Source organism: Homo sapiens, chromosome 10 (genome assembly GCF_000001405.40).
Source record: "Homo sapiens chromosome 10, GRCh38.p14 Primary Assembly".
NCBI lineage: Eukaryota > Metazoa > Chordata > Mammalia > Primates > Hominidae > Homo > Homo sapiens.
Window position 1 is genome coordinate 1,624,809 of NC_000010.11, and position 14,714 is coordinate 1,639,522.

General features: G+C 47.9%; 1 protein-coding gene across 1 annotated transcript in view, besides 2 other annotated features; it reads right to left on the minus strand.

Annotated features, from left to right (window-relative positions):
* Positions 1-14,714, minus strand: part of ADARB2 (adenosine deaminase RNA specific B2 (inactive)) — a 560,213-nt gene that overhangs the window by 447,496 nt on the left and 98,003 nt on the right. The gene's annotated exons all lie outside the window — the stretch shown is intronic.
* Positions 2,760-3,261: an enhancer, noted in NCBI's record as "H3K4me1 hESC enhancer chr10:1669763-1670264 (GRCh37/hg19 assembly coordinates)". NCBI's record gives its function as "activates a minimal SCP1, AML or CMV promoter by ChIP-STARR-seq in naive H9 embryonic stem cells {active_cell/tissue: H9 hESC(naive)}" and the evidence as "EXISTENCE:reporter gene assay evidence [ECO:0000049][PMID:30033119]".
* Positions 3,262-3,761: an enhancer, noted in NCBI's record as "H3K4me1 hESC enhancer chr10:1670265-1670764 (GRCh37/hg19 assembly coordinates)". NCBI's record gives its function as "activates a minimal SCP1, AML or CMV promoter by ChIP-STARR-seq in naive H9 embryonic stem cells {active_cell/tissue: H9 hESC(naive)}" and the evidence as "EXISTENCE:reporter gene assay evidence [ECO:0000049][PMID:30033119]".

Genomic DNA, 14,714 nt, shown 5'->3' on the forward strand with positions numbered 1-14,714 from the left:
TTGAAAGGAAGTAAACTAGAAAGAGAAGATGGCTTTTGTGAGTGCTTGAGATTCTTCTTGACTTGGAATTAAAAAAAACTAAAGGTTAAATTACAGATGATGTTATGCTGCATTTACTGAAGCAGGTGAATCATGAAAACCACTTGTATATCTCAATAAAAATAAATTAAACATATATATATATGTAGAAGGCAGTCTAACACAGGTTTCTCCTACTGTTGTGTTAGCTAAAGATTTTTCTTTTAACTGTCTGGGGAAATGTGAATTTATCTGCATCTGTTCAGAATTGGCCAAACACCTCCACAAGTTGTTCAGAATTATTGACGAGTCCTGAGAGCTAAACCCCAAGAGACATTTTTCCAGCCTGTTTTCTGTGGTGCAGAAAGGAGCGTGGTGTGCGGGAGCAGAGGCTGCTCTCAGCTCATGTGCTGAGTCCAGGCCTGTGCGGAGCCTGAGGCTGAACTCGCCATCTTTACACTCCTTTAAGGGAAAATACCCCTTTTTCCAGGGAAAACTGGGAGACAGACAGTCGACGTGGGTTGCAATCCCAATGCCGGTTGCAGTGCTGAGGGCTGGCCCATCAGGGGCAGCTTACAGGGACTGAGGTTTGCACCTTGGCGCTGGTGGGGTGTTTAGTGCCCTGGATGGAAACAATGCTGGGATCCCAGTGAACAGACGGCAGGGAATGTTCCTCGGAGGGAAAAACAGGCCTCTGGAGGTGCAGGGCTTGGTTTTGGAATCTAAGCTCCACAGGTGGAGGCCACAGAACAGCTTTCTCGGGAGTCCCCACTGGCTTTGTGAAGAGCAGGGAAGGCATGGTGAGTGTCCAAGTGTCATCACATTAATACAGAATTGACACATGTCCACTGACCATCAGACAGCAGACATGCCCTGGAATGACAGCCTCCACAGATCCAGCCCGTGGGACCCAGCCCCAGGTTGCTAAGTGTCCCCAGCGAGGCCTGCCCGACCCCTCTCACCCTTCTCCTGCTGAGCTGTGGCCTTCCCATGTCCTCATCACCCAGCACAGCCATGCCTCCTGCTCCTGCCCTCTGTGTGCACCTGCCTGGCTGCCCCACTTCTCACGCCTCTGCCTGACCCTGCGCTCTCTCCTGCATGGACACAGGCCTCCAGTGGACCTCGGATGCTAACCCCACGTCTGCCCACGCTCGCTCCAGCATGGACACAGGCCTCCACTGGACCTCAGCTCCTGCATGGACACAGGCCTCCACTGGACCTCGGACACTAACCCCACATCTGCCCACGCTCTCTCTTGCATAGACACAGGCCTCCACTGGACCTCAGACACTAACCCCACGTCTGCCCATGCTCTCTCCTGCATGGACACAGGCCTCCACTGGACCTCGGACGCTAACCCCACATCTGCCCACGCTCGCTCCTGCATGGACACAGGCCTCCACTGGACCTCAGACGCTAACCCCACATCTGCCCATGCTCTCTCCTGCATGGACACAGGCCTCCACTGGACCTCGGACGCTAACCCCACGTCTGCCCATGCTCTCTCCTGCATGGACACAGGCCTCCACTGGACCTCGGATGCTAACCCCATGTCTGCCCACGCTCTCTCCTGCATGGACACAGGCCTCCACTGGATCTCGGACGCTAACCCCACGTCTGCCCACGCCTCAGGCACCTCTTGAACTCCGGGGCTTCCTCTGCTCAGCAGCCGAGGTCTTTTCCGCAGGTGCTGCCTGGCCCTCCTCCCGTGGCTGTGAACTCCCCTGCACGTGTCATGGGAGTTCCCAGGCCATCCGTGAGGCAGACTGGCTCCTCTCAAACTCCCACGACGGCCTGTCCTCAGTGATATTTCCGGGCTGCCCCCACACTCGACATGGAAGAACGTGAATGACTTGCCAGGGCCATGGGCAGAGGGAAGGTGGCTACACACGTCCCGGCTTGTCGCTCACCACCTGTTAACAGCCACGCACAAAGCAACCCGCACGGTCTGAAGTGGCCCGATTGTTACATGTTGTATTATATATAGTTTACTATATATTTAAAAAATGCAAAAACCACAGTTACTTTTGCACCAACCTAATATAAACATGTATCGGTTTCTGCTGTGGTTATGCATCTCCTGCCTTCCCTCATCAGCACCCACCCTGTGCCTTCCTCCTAAGAATCCCTCTCTGTGGGGTCCTGCTGCCCTCTCCTTGCCTGACCCACTCAGGTCCCACCTTTTCCCCGGGCCCCGGCGCACCCGCTAGCACCGCTTTCTGCCCACCCTGGCCTGGACGCCTCTCCCTCCCCACAGGCTCACACATCAGTCACCCACTCGAACTGGAGCCGGGCCCTCGGGTGAATCGTTAGCTCCTCGAGCACCGAGACTGAGACTTATACATTTTAATAACTTGGGACGTGCACAAGAAGGGGCTTGACGAGCCTCGGATTGATTTATTGATTTAGAGGTTGCTTTTCTAGCCAAGGCAACTGAAGATTAGACTCCTGATCACGGACACTTGACTCCATTCGGAGAGCAGGGCCCATCTGTGCATGCAAGATCGCCTCCCACAAAGGAGAGAAATTCTCCTCCATTCTTTCTCTTGATTGCCTTTCTATCTTAATTTTTTTTCTCTCTCTCTCATCACCTTCTTACATCTGTTGCAGGTTAAAGGGCACAGTTCAATGTCTATCAGGTGAACTTTGACTTTAAACTTAAATCTCAGTCCTTGCACAGACCCCATAATCAAAGTAGAAAACCATAAGCTGTGAAAACTTCATGTAGAAGTTTGCCCACAGCTACACAGCCATGGCCATGACATCTAACGTTCCTAGATTTCTAATGGAATTAACTTCTACTGGTTTGTCATAAGAAATGGAGATGCAGAAGCACTGGCTGTTTTACAGATTACACTAGAAAGAGACATAGGGGTTTTCTCTGGCTTTTCTCTCTCTACAGCAGCTGTCTGTACTGCTCTCTCCCAGAGTGATTTCTTTCCTTTTAATTGATCACCCATTCTCTAATATACAAAATCAAATAAAACCGAGACACAGCCTCGTAGAGATCACCTGTCTCTTTGGTCATGTTTGTCCTCAAGGTGCCAGCACTTGAAGAGGTGGAGCTGGAGGGCATCAGCCATGGAGAAGGTGTGACTCCCCCCAGCATCACCCCTCCTCCACTCACACTGCAGACAGGTCTGCCCCGTCTGAAATCAGCTTGACCCTCCATCCTGGAAAACTGCCGGCTGATGTGGGCTTTCGCCCATCCCTCTGTGACTGGCCTGAGCTCTGCCCTTGTCCACGCGTGGGTAGATCAGAGGCAGGAAAGACACATCTACCCTGGAGCACCCTGGCAGCAGGTGCCTGAGGGGCTGAGAGCAAACGGGCGGCGATGCATTGCCTGCAGCCTCCTCTGGCCTCCCTGGCATGCTTAGGGGGAAAAGTCGCTTCTGTGCACATTGTCAAGGAGCGAGGGGGCCTCATCAGTACTTTATGATAACAGCACACAACCCTGCTAGCCGTGGGTAGTGCCTGTGATTACTTGCTTTCTACCGATGTTAGGCTGCGTTACGATCGGCATTCACTGTTCAGCGCTTGCTAGGCTGTTAATTATTGTTGTGTGGCTCTAAGTGATGCTTTCAAAACATTTTAGAATTTTGTTACTGTGAAGGCACCGGGAGGAACTTAATAAGCCAAGATTCTACATGAGAATGACACAGATATTAAAACAATGAAAATAGTTTAATCACGGCCTTTTCTTCCACAGCTATGGCTGATAAAAATGTGTTTCTGACACTTGGCCGAATGTCACTAGAGACTCAGCTGTCTAGGGTCCCTGTTTCATTCTGTACAAGAAACCTCCATGGGTGTGGAAGTAAGTCAGTTTCAAGGAAAAGAATTTGAATCCTGAGCTATTTTAGCATGGATCTCTACGTTTTAAATGAAATCCTTCTTTTCAGCGAACTGGGAGAAATACAAAGACTTTCCTGGTGTGTCTTTCTCTTCTGGAAACTATGGAGAAAAATGAAACCAGTCCCGCCATTTGCTCACGGCGGCCTCCGGCCAGGCCCTGGTCCCACTTCCAGGCCAGCGAATCACGGCTGCCCAGTGTCGTGACCACTGGAGGGGCCTCCCTGGTGTCCGTTGGGTTCTGACTCAAGATCGGTCTGTGCTTCTTCCCTGTAGCTCCTGCGAGGGCTGGACAGCTGGCCGGGTTTCATTTGCCTCATGAGGGGCTTGGAGACATTGATGAGAAGACAGAGAGAGGGGAGTGCTGAGACCCTCAGTGAGGACAGGCGTGAAACTGGCTCAAGCTGTTCGCCAGGGTGTCCCCTAGCAACACAGAGTCCACGAGTAACATGTTCCTTGGAAGTTTAGGTTATTATTTTTTAATTTTGAGAGGTTTGTGGTTACTTGATTTACTCTTTCTCCTTTGTTTAGACAAGAAAACTAAGGCCCAGGGAATTGGACTCCCTGGTGAGTGATGAGCCAGGGCACAGTTTCTACCTGCCAGTTTGCAGTTGGTAAAAATCAGTTTCTGAGACAAGTGTGGGTTTACTCCTAGCCATGCTGTCCCCTGGGATTGGTGGAGACCTCCTCATCGTGATGGTCAGGACTTCACAGTGACATTCTAATTCACTTCCCCCATTACCTCCTGCTCCCATGGAGCTAAAGCCTCAGCGCTCAAGCACCCCGCCAGCGCCCAACCCCGCCCTGCGCCCAACCTCCCCACTGCGCCCAACACCACCCAGTGCCCAAGTCCCCCCAGTACTCAAACCCCCCCAGCACCCAACCCCCCCAGCACTCAAGCCCCTCAGGTCGTCACAAAGGCCGGGTGCTTCCGCTCTGGGTCTGTCCCCATTGCCTGGGCACCTGCAGATCCTGCAAGTCCAGCTCACCCCCGGCCCTTCACAAACTCCCCCAAACTGCCATCCCTGACAAGACACGTTGTCTCTCTTCACTAAACCCCTACAGCTTGTAACCTGAGACAAAATTTGCCTGTGACCCTTGTGTGGCCTCTAGGGGTTACACAACAGCCTTGCACATGCCATTCCGAGAATGGCTGCTAAGTAAAACAGCATTAACACAAAGTGACCTGGACACAAAGACAGGGAGCGAGACACAGAGAATGCGGGGGAAGGGAGCGTGAGGAGGGAGGAACCTGACAAAACCAACCCCCGTCATTCCTTCATCTACTTGCCCAACACCATCTGCCGAGCCCTTGCTCACCCCAGCAGTCACCCAGCCACACCCACTTGGCACTTCATGGCCACCTAGACAGGAGCCTCTAGCCTTGCTTGCTAGAGCTGCAGTTGATTTATGAGATAACCCAGCAATGGCACCAGGTCCTTTGGCTTTGAGTGTTTCATCTTAGAAATAGGAGATAATTATTTCTTTATACATTTAGCAAACATTCATGAAGGGTCCACTGTGGCCAGAGACCATTCTGGGTCCATGAATGGGACAGACTAGAGCTTGGCCCTCCCGACACTTATGTTCTCGTGAGGATGGGAGAAGATGACACTCGTGCAGGTAACAGGATAATTTCAGATGGTGATCAACGCAGTACAGAAGCAAGGCAGGGCATAAAGGGGTGGGGAGGGCTTCCTACCCAGCGGTGACACCCTTCCCTGGGTACCAGCCTGTTCTCAGGGAGGGGGCGGAGGAAAGTGGCTTACCCTGTGCCCTGGTTACAGTAAACTCTCTATCAGAAGCCACGAGTCATTTACATTTCAGTCTCTACCCTCGCTCAGCTCTTGGGTCTCCCATGGTGACAGTGACTCTGGGCAGGGCAGAGGGGGTGTGTGCTGGATCCAGAGGCTGAAGTTTCAGGCAGAGAAATGGCGACTCTATGAATGCCTCAGTGCATTTTTCCACATGGTGGTTTATTAAAGGTCTATGTGCATTTTAGATTTCTGGATTACAGAAATATGAAGGAACACTTTGGGAGGCCGAGGTGGGCAGATCATGAGGTCAAGAGATTGAGACCAGCCTGGTCAACATGGTGGAACCCCGTCTCTACTAAAAGTACCAAAATTAGCCAGGTGTGGTGGTGGGCGTCTGTAGTCCCAGATACTCAGGAGGCTGAGGCAGGGGAATCACTTGAACCCAGGAGATGGAGGTTGCAGTGAGCCGAGATCATGCCATTGCACTCCAGCCTGGGTGACAGAGCGAGACTCCTTCTCAAAAACAAACAAACAAACAAACAAACAAACAAACAAACAAATAAATGAAAGAAAGAAAAAAAGAAAAGAATTATGAGGGAAATACTTATTTCTCAGTAGAGCCACCACCCGCGGTGAAGTGTGGGAAGAGTGGCCTGTGAACCAGTGCCCCAACAGTGAGTTCCTAGCTTCCCTGGAACAAGAAAAAAGGGTGTGCAACACGTTCGATGTGCCAGGTGCCTCCACGTGGGGTCCCGACGCCATCCATGAACGTCCACCTCCACCCTTTCTACCCTGTCTTCCTTCTTTACTTTCTTCCTTCCTCCATTCCATTCAATGAGGCCTGTAGAGCACCCACCACTACCTGGCACCGAGACAGGCTGGACGCGGCAGGGAACAGCTCACCCAGCTTTAGCCAGCGGGGACCTGACAAAGGCTGCCTCGGGTTCCACTGTGAGGTCCCGTTCCTGGTGACTGGGCAGGCTCGGGCTCAGGGCCAGCTGGTGTCATGCCAGGGCGTATCACCTTCCCATGCCCGATGTCAGAGCGCAAAAAATATGCTTAACAGGAAACCCAAATGAACAGCAGTGCTTCCGTCACTCTTTGATGCCTGGGAAGGACTTCTACATCCAGGAAGTGCTAGGTCACCCTTTGAACGTCAGTTACAGTTGCAGTGAGGTGGCTGGCAGATGAATGGGTCTGGTGATTTGATGGTGTCTGTCTACTGGAGATCTTGGGTAAAGGACGACGCTGTGTGGGCTGCAGTGCAGGACCAAGCTTCCATTCTCCTCCTGCTGCCAGATCTAGGAAAATGTGGCTCGGTTCACAGTTAGGAAGGAAAATATGTATTTTTTAAATGGTAATTTGTAAAAACAATGTGAGAATTTTATCAGATTATTGTAGTTATTCTGGAAATGTATAGTGTCATAGAAATTCTAAACAACAACTTTTCTCTCTGTTAAAATTCTCACCTTCTTCTTCTGAAACTGCTACCCAGAGGTGTGGATAAGCGTGATCTTAGAGAGGAGCTTGCCATGCACTGCCTTAGGAGAATGTGTCCGCTCTTCACAGGGAAAAACAACATGGCAGTGGGAGGACTGAGACATTTTAATAAAATGCTGTTGATTTTCAAAGGTATACATCTTAGAAACATCCTTGTTTTTAGCTAATATTTAAGCTGTTCCTAGGGCCATAAAATAATCTAAACTGGATAAATTCATCATTATACTAAATATCTCATGAAGAAAAACAACATAGATCTTAAACATCCAACTTCATAAACACACTTGTGCAGGCATGTGCACATTACACACACATGCCACATGCATGCATACACTACACACACATATGCACACACTACACACATGCGCACACACACAGGCACACAATACTCACGTGCACACACATGCACACACAGTACACGTATACTCACACAGGCTTGCAAACACAAGCATGCACAATATGCATCTGCATACACATTATACATGGGCACACAAGTGCTTGCACACACATGCACACTACACATGTGCACACACATGCACACACACTGGATACTCACAGCACTAGCCTTGTGACCATGCACCTGCCCATGTGGCTGGGCCTATGGCGAGGCTGTGGGCTGAGTTGTGGCCCTCACCCCAGAGACAGTGTCCATGACGGTTCTCCAAGTCTGGTGAGACTAGAGGGGAAATAACTGCCCTAAAGCCCTGAGAAGTCAAGGACTGATGGCAGATCCTCACACCAGTGTCCTCCTCCCACTCACTGTGGGACTGCATGAAGTGGCATTGAATAGACAGAGACCTCACAGCCCAGCAGTCACGAAGAACCACTCCCATCTGCACACTCGTTCCAAGTTAGCGTGACATGCTGTAAAGGCTCATCTTATGTGGCAACTTGACTGGGCTTGGGGCTGCCCAGGGGGCTGGTCAACTGTTATTTCTGGGTGTATCTGGGAGGATGTTTCTGGAAGAGACCAGCATTTGAAATGGTAAACTGAGTCAAGAAGCTCTGCCCTTGTCCATGTGGGTGGGTGCATCCAGTCCACAGAGGGCCAAATGGAATGGAAGCTGGGGGCAGGGTGGATCGCCTCTGCTGGAGTGGGCCTCCCTCTCCCCAGGGCCTCAGACTCCCGTGCTCCTGCTTCCTCTCCTGCTTTTCCTGCTTCTCCTCCTGCTTCTCCTGCTTCTTCTGCCTCTGGACTCAGGCTAGGGCTACACTGTTGGCTCCCCTGGTTCTGAGCCCTTTGGGCTTGGACTGAACTATGTCACTGATTTCCTGGTTCACCAGTGCCCAAGCAGGGATTGAGGGACGTCTTAGCCTCCATGATCACATGAGCCAGTTCCCATAATAAACCTCCCCATACACAGGTTGAGTGTCCCTAATCAAAAAATCCAAAATCCGCAATGCTCCATAGTTCAAAACTTTTTCAGTGCCAACAGGAATTTCAAAGGAAATGCTCACCAGAATATTTCAGATCTTGGATTTTCAGAGTGTGGACGCTGAACTGATGAGTGTATTGAAAATATTCCAAAATCTGAAAAAACCCAAATCCCAAGTGAACATCTCAGGTAAGGGATACTCAATGAGTGAGTCTGTCTGTCTGTCTGTCTATCTATCATCTATCTATCTATCTATCTATCTATCTATCTATCTATCTATCTATCTATCTATCTATCTATCCCTCTATGTAATCTATCTATCCATCCATCTATCATACTGGTTCTGTTTCTCTGGAGAACCCTGGCTAGTGCACACACTATCTTATATTGAATAATGCTGAGTAGTTTCCAAAATATTTTCACATGAAATTTTGTCAGTTGACTCTCCGAGCTGGTGTTCAGGGGACAGGCTGTCCTGGGCTCTCCCTGAGGGTTTGAGCAGGCCCAGGGACTCAGTCCAGGCCCCCGACTCTGACCCCTCCTCTAGTGTGGAGCAGCCTGAAGCCCGAGGGAGTGTCCTGTGCCAGCACCATGTGAACCCGCATGTCCAGGCGACCCGCCATCCTACATGGCACCTCACGAGCCCCATGGAGCTCCTTGCCAGCACAGAGGGACACAGAGCTCCTCGTCTCCACCCTCTCTTCACACCTCCCTTGATCTGCACATTTCTGCTGCCGGCTGTGCTGTGGCTCCTGGGGCCCCTCTCCCACCCTCGCCTGCTCCCACCTGCCCTCTGCGCCTGTCCCCACGGGTGTGTTTCCTCCTCCCTCAACACCGGGAGGACCCTGGGGCCACACCCGCTCCAGAGTCAGATTCAAGTAAGCAGGTCCTTCAGCCGAAAGTGGACTCAATGGCCCAAGACCTAACCCATCTGTGAGAACACTGGACATGGGCATTTGTATTTTGCAATCAGGCCACAGACACAGCACACAGAGGTGATGTTTCCTAAAGAAAACCACAGCGGTTGTTTTCCCAGGACTCTCCAGGTGTCCAGCCTAGGCAAGGGCAAGGTGACCTCAGAACTGGCTGTTCTCAACGCTGCTCCTTGGAAACGTGGACCCCCAGGGACCATCTGAGCTGAGAGGAGGGGCGGCCGGCTGGCCCTGGGCTCTGGAAGCTCCTTCCTCCAGGCACTCCTTCCTACCTGGAAGGATGTGTTTCTTCTGGAGTTTGCAGGTTAGGGTCACTCCAGGTGTACAAGTGTTTGGAAATGAACCTGCCAAGTATTGTCATATACTTGGCAAGATTCCTGCACTGAATTCATGTTTATTATAATATGTCGCATGACCTCAAAACTTTAGAAGCACACAATATCCATATAATCTTTCCAGTTGATACACTCTGAAGAGTTATATGTATGTGTAATAAAAATATTTTAATTGAATTCAATTCATTACCAGAACAACCAACACTGGTTAACTGAAAGCAATATAAAAGTGCAAATATTCATTAATAGTCCATTTTTAACAAGCTCTAATAAGCTTTTCATAAAACCAGTAGTTACTTTCCAGAACAAACATTTTTTAATTTTTCTGATCTATTCTCATTCTAGTCGATTCTTGGTCACAGCTGGATGTGGTTAAGCAAACCAATCTGTATTTGTAAAAGCTGGTTTTCATTTCAACCCTGGAAAGCTGGCATAAACTTAAATATTTCTCTGGATCCAATACATATTAACTAAAGTAAGTGTATTTGTGAAATTGAAAAGATTATAATGTACACTGAAAGAGTCTATGGCATTTTTACAATTCCAAATGTATCTTACGTAGAGGAGTGCCTTTAAAAAATATCAACCATGGGTGCCACAGTTTAAAAACACACAATTTTAATAGGTTACCTTGAGAATGATCACCTTCCTTCATTATTTAGATCATTTCTAGAGTGAAATGTTCCCATGTTAATTTATTCAATAGAGTTTTTGGAGTCAAGCTCTGTGCAAAGTGCTGGGCCTGGAGTGGTGAACTCGGCAGGCTGAGCAGTCCTGGCAGGTGCACGTCCTATGTAACTTAGAATACGTCTGCAAGATCTTCATCTAAGACGGTATGAGCCTTGAGACCACAGCGCTGTGCTTGCTGAAAGCATTAGTGTCAAATTTTCCCTTGGAGAAGACCAAACCCAACAGGTCCCCTTGAGATGTGGCTCTGCCTAGTGTTGCGTTGAAATCTCCGGATGATGAAACCTCCCTGCTTTGTGGGTGATTGCCCCGCCCACTCTGAGCTTCCCTCCGTCGGGACAGCCTCACGTTGGATTAGGTTCAAAGCTCTCCCACTGTCTTCATCTCCCTTCCCTCCCTGTGAACGGAACTGGCTGGCCACATTTCTCTTAGAGAATTTTAAATCATTACTCAGTTACTCTTCATTTATCTCAGACACATGTTGAGCGATTCTGGTCCCTTTTATCTTCACTCATTTCGTTCCTTGCAATAGGCTTTGGCTATCTCTGGACACCTCCTCACTCTATCCCTGGACAGTTGCTGGTGTGGCTGTCAAAGCCCCTCCACTGACCCAGAGGCCTCTTATCTAGCAACAGGGCTCTCTGGAACACTGTGCAGAAAACCTGATGTTAAAACAAACTAACAAAGAAACGAAGAGACATAAACCACGGCTGGATAGGTAAACCCAGCCGTGACGAAGTCCACATGGGACATCAGTGTTGGGCTCCCAGGTGTGGCTCTGAGGCACGTTTTTGGAGGTCGGGTGCTCCCTTGTTAAAGCTGACTTTATACCGGGAACTGGTTTCCAGTACACAGAAGATGAGAAATAGCTCAACGGAGCGAGTTGAGGGGGGTGCAAGACATAAAGCAAGGCTGGGAGAAAAACCAAAACTGGTCTAGGCAGACTGACTTTCTTAAAAAGTACTAAAGAGCCAGGTGCAGTGGCTCACGCCTGTAATCCCAATACTTTGGGAGGCTGAAGCAGGCGGATCACTTGAGCCCAGGAGTTTGAGACCAGCCTGGGCTACAAAGAAAAGTCCCATCTCTATAAAAAATATAAAAATTAACCAGACATGGTAGTGTGAGCCTGTAGTCCCAGCTACTCAGGAGGCTGAGGCAGGAGGATTGTTTGAGCCTCAGAGGTTGAGGCTGCAGTGAGCTGTGATTGCACCATTGCACTCTAGCCTGGGGGACAGTGAGAAACCCTGTAAAAAACCAAAAGAAATGGTGCCTATGTAATGTGGGGGGAGGCTCCGCACAGACCAGCAGTTGCAAGAGATACCACAGTTCATGCCACCAGTAATGCCAACAAGAATGTTGGTAAGAACACTTTGTTGATATAAATCTTGTACTTATTCAATTTTTATATATATGTAGATAGATATCTATCTATCTACATATATCAATATATAGATATTTGATATATACCGATATGATGTATAATATACATCATATCAATATACAATATATGAAATATATCAATATTATATGACATATATAATATTGTTATATATGTCATATATTATATAACATATATCACAAATTATAAAACATATAATATTGATATGTAATATATATAATATTGATATATATATCTATTTCTATGTAGAATATATATAATATCTCTCTCTATATATAAAATTTCCAACCAACACTTTTGGGTCACCTTTGTTTAACTTTTGGCACTTACAATAACAGTCTTTCTTTTTTTTCTGAAAAGTGCCCTCATGATTTAATACTCATTCATGATTGAAAGGCTGTTGCTTAAATCTTACAGAATTAAAGGTGTCCGCAACACAACAGATGTAGACACACTGAAGGAATACTTCTGCCTGAGCCATTTTATTTTAAATTACTGAGATTTCTTTTACCACAAGTGGCTCTGCTCTAGCTAACATCAGATACTTGGCAGTTTATATTTCTGCCGTGATGATGTAAATCCTGTTTCCACAGAATCCTTTAAATTCCACACCTTGCCAGCTCGGAGTGGGAAGGAAGGAGCAGCGTTGCCTGTCACCAGCTTCATTCTTTAATTATGGCATTCTTCCTTGATTAGAGCTATAATCACATAGCAATCCCCAAATCTTGATTACTGGTGGAAAATGCAAGTCTAATGAAACCCATTATACTCTTGAAAAGCAAATACACTTTCTTTTAGAAGATGGCAAGGGTTTTTGTCTTAAATGATTACCCTCAATGCAGAATTTCAGGGTGTTGAGGTTTTCAAATAATTTTCCCTAAAATAACGTATTTGTTCCTTGATCCTAAGAAGTTACAATCCATGGCAACATGTAGGGAAAGTATTGTAAGGTGAATTCTTGTCCTCTAACAGTATGATTCTTCTGATTAGATTTCTATCCCATCCCTATAAAATATCAATAACTTAAATGTGTTGCCACTCTTAAACTGCAGTTTCATACGATGATGTATTAATCGCTCGCAATAATTTGCCTCGTCACCAAGTTAATGTGTCTGCGTGGCTCCTGTTTATGAGCAAAGCAAACCTCCTACTGCTCCGGGCTGCCTCCTAACGCCACTTCTGCGATTTCCCTACAGACACTAGTATCAGGGGTGCTGAATGGAAAAGTAGAAATTAAAATGGAAAAGTTCTTTGTCTGGCATTGAAAGAAACCGCCAATATTTTTATGTGAGAATGAACAGTTGGAGCTGCTTCCACCAGAAGACAGAAAAGAGAGGTTTGGGGGAAAATGGGTCTTGGGTGGCTGGGAGGAGATGCTCCAGGCTGTTTTCCACATGGAGGAAACTTGGCAATAATGAAAGTTCCTTTTCTAGCTCTCATTAGTTGCCTCTGTATTTCCTGAATTACCCTGTCACATTCAATACCCAATATAAATGAAGCAACTTTTAATCATTCCAGGAGAGATGGAGGACAGATGCAGATATTACACTTCAATATATGGAAGTAGTCTCAAAATGTCATTAACTCGTGAATTAACAATGAGCTTTGATTGTTGAAAAAAGATGACATATTTCCCCATTTAGAGTTTGGGACAAGAAGTTAATTTAAATGCTAAAAGTACATATATTTGACTAACTTGATGTCACATATATCTCTTAGCATTAATACAGAAATGGCATTTATAAAAGCCATAATGCATGTAGCTCAAGGCAAGCTTTCTTAAACAGTTTGACTCAATTGAGACCTTATAAAGCTTTGGTCTATTGTTCCACTTTCATGAGGTTTTTTTTTTTGGTCAGGCCAATTATAGCGAAGGATACATATTTCAGGTGAACCTTTATTGAGTGCTGACTGCTAGCCAGACATCGTTCTCTGAGCCTCGTGTGCATTACACAGTTTCTTACAACAAGCCGATGAGGCAGATAATTTTATCACCATCATTTTCCAGGTGAGTAGAATGAGATTTAGGATTAAGTGTTTTTTTTGTAAGGTTGCTCATCTAATAAATGGTGGTTCCCACTGCAGCCAGTCCTCTCCATGTCTGCGAGATGACACAGCTGGACCCGACGAGCTGGGAGAAAAGGCAAAATCACCACTCATCACTCATCTTCTATTTGCTTAAAATGGTGTGTCGGGGGCTCACATACTTCTCATCCGTGCTCCCTCCATGCAGGTGACACAAGTCACACAGGTCTTTTTCTTAAAGGAGGTGGAGAGGCTGCCTTGCCTGCACTCACACGGACTTCCAGTGGGGAAGAAGCCGTCTTGGCGAGTGTCTTGGTTTGAGATCATCAGGGCCATACCCTCATCATGGTACAAGTGTTTGTGCAGTCAGGGTGGAAACAGCAGGGAGCAGACATGCTGTGGCCATCTCCTAAAGCTGGAGCACTTCAGGAGAATGGGAGGGCCATGGTCCCATGGGCATGAGTGCTCTCCTGCTGCCTGCCAAGCCTGTCCTGGAACTGAGCCAGGAGGCTGACTGCATCCAGGAAGCTGACCGCATCCAGGAGGCTGACCGCATCCAGGAGGTTGACCGCATCCAGGAGGCTGACTGCATGGTTCTTCCTAGAGCAGGGCTTAGAGCCTGCTCTGTGGTCAGTCATGTGGCCCTGGAAGAGAAGTCCCCAGAGCCTTCAGGAATGTCCCAGGGTCTTGGAATCAGAGAAGACCAAGAAACGCCACCAGCTTTGGAACTGGGTGAGCTTTATCTGGGTGTTTCTCCCTGGCTGGCCCACAGTACCAGACCATTCACGAGCAGCCTGATGATCACAGCTGATCCTTACCCTAAGAAAGCTTTG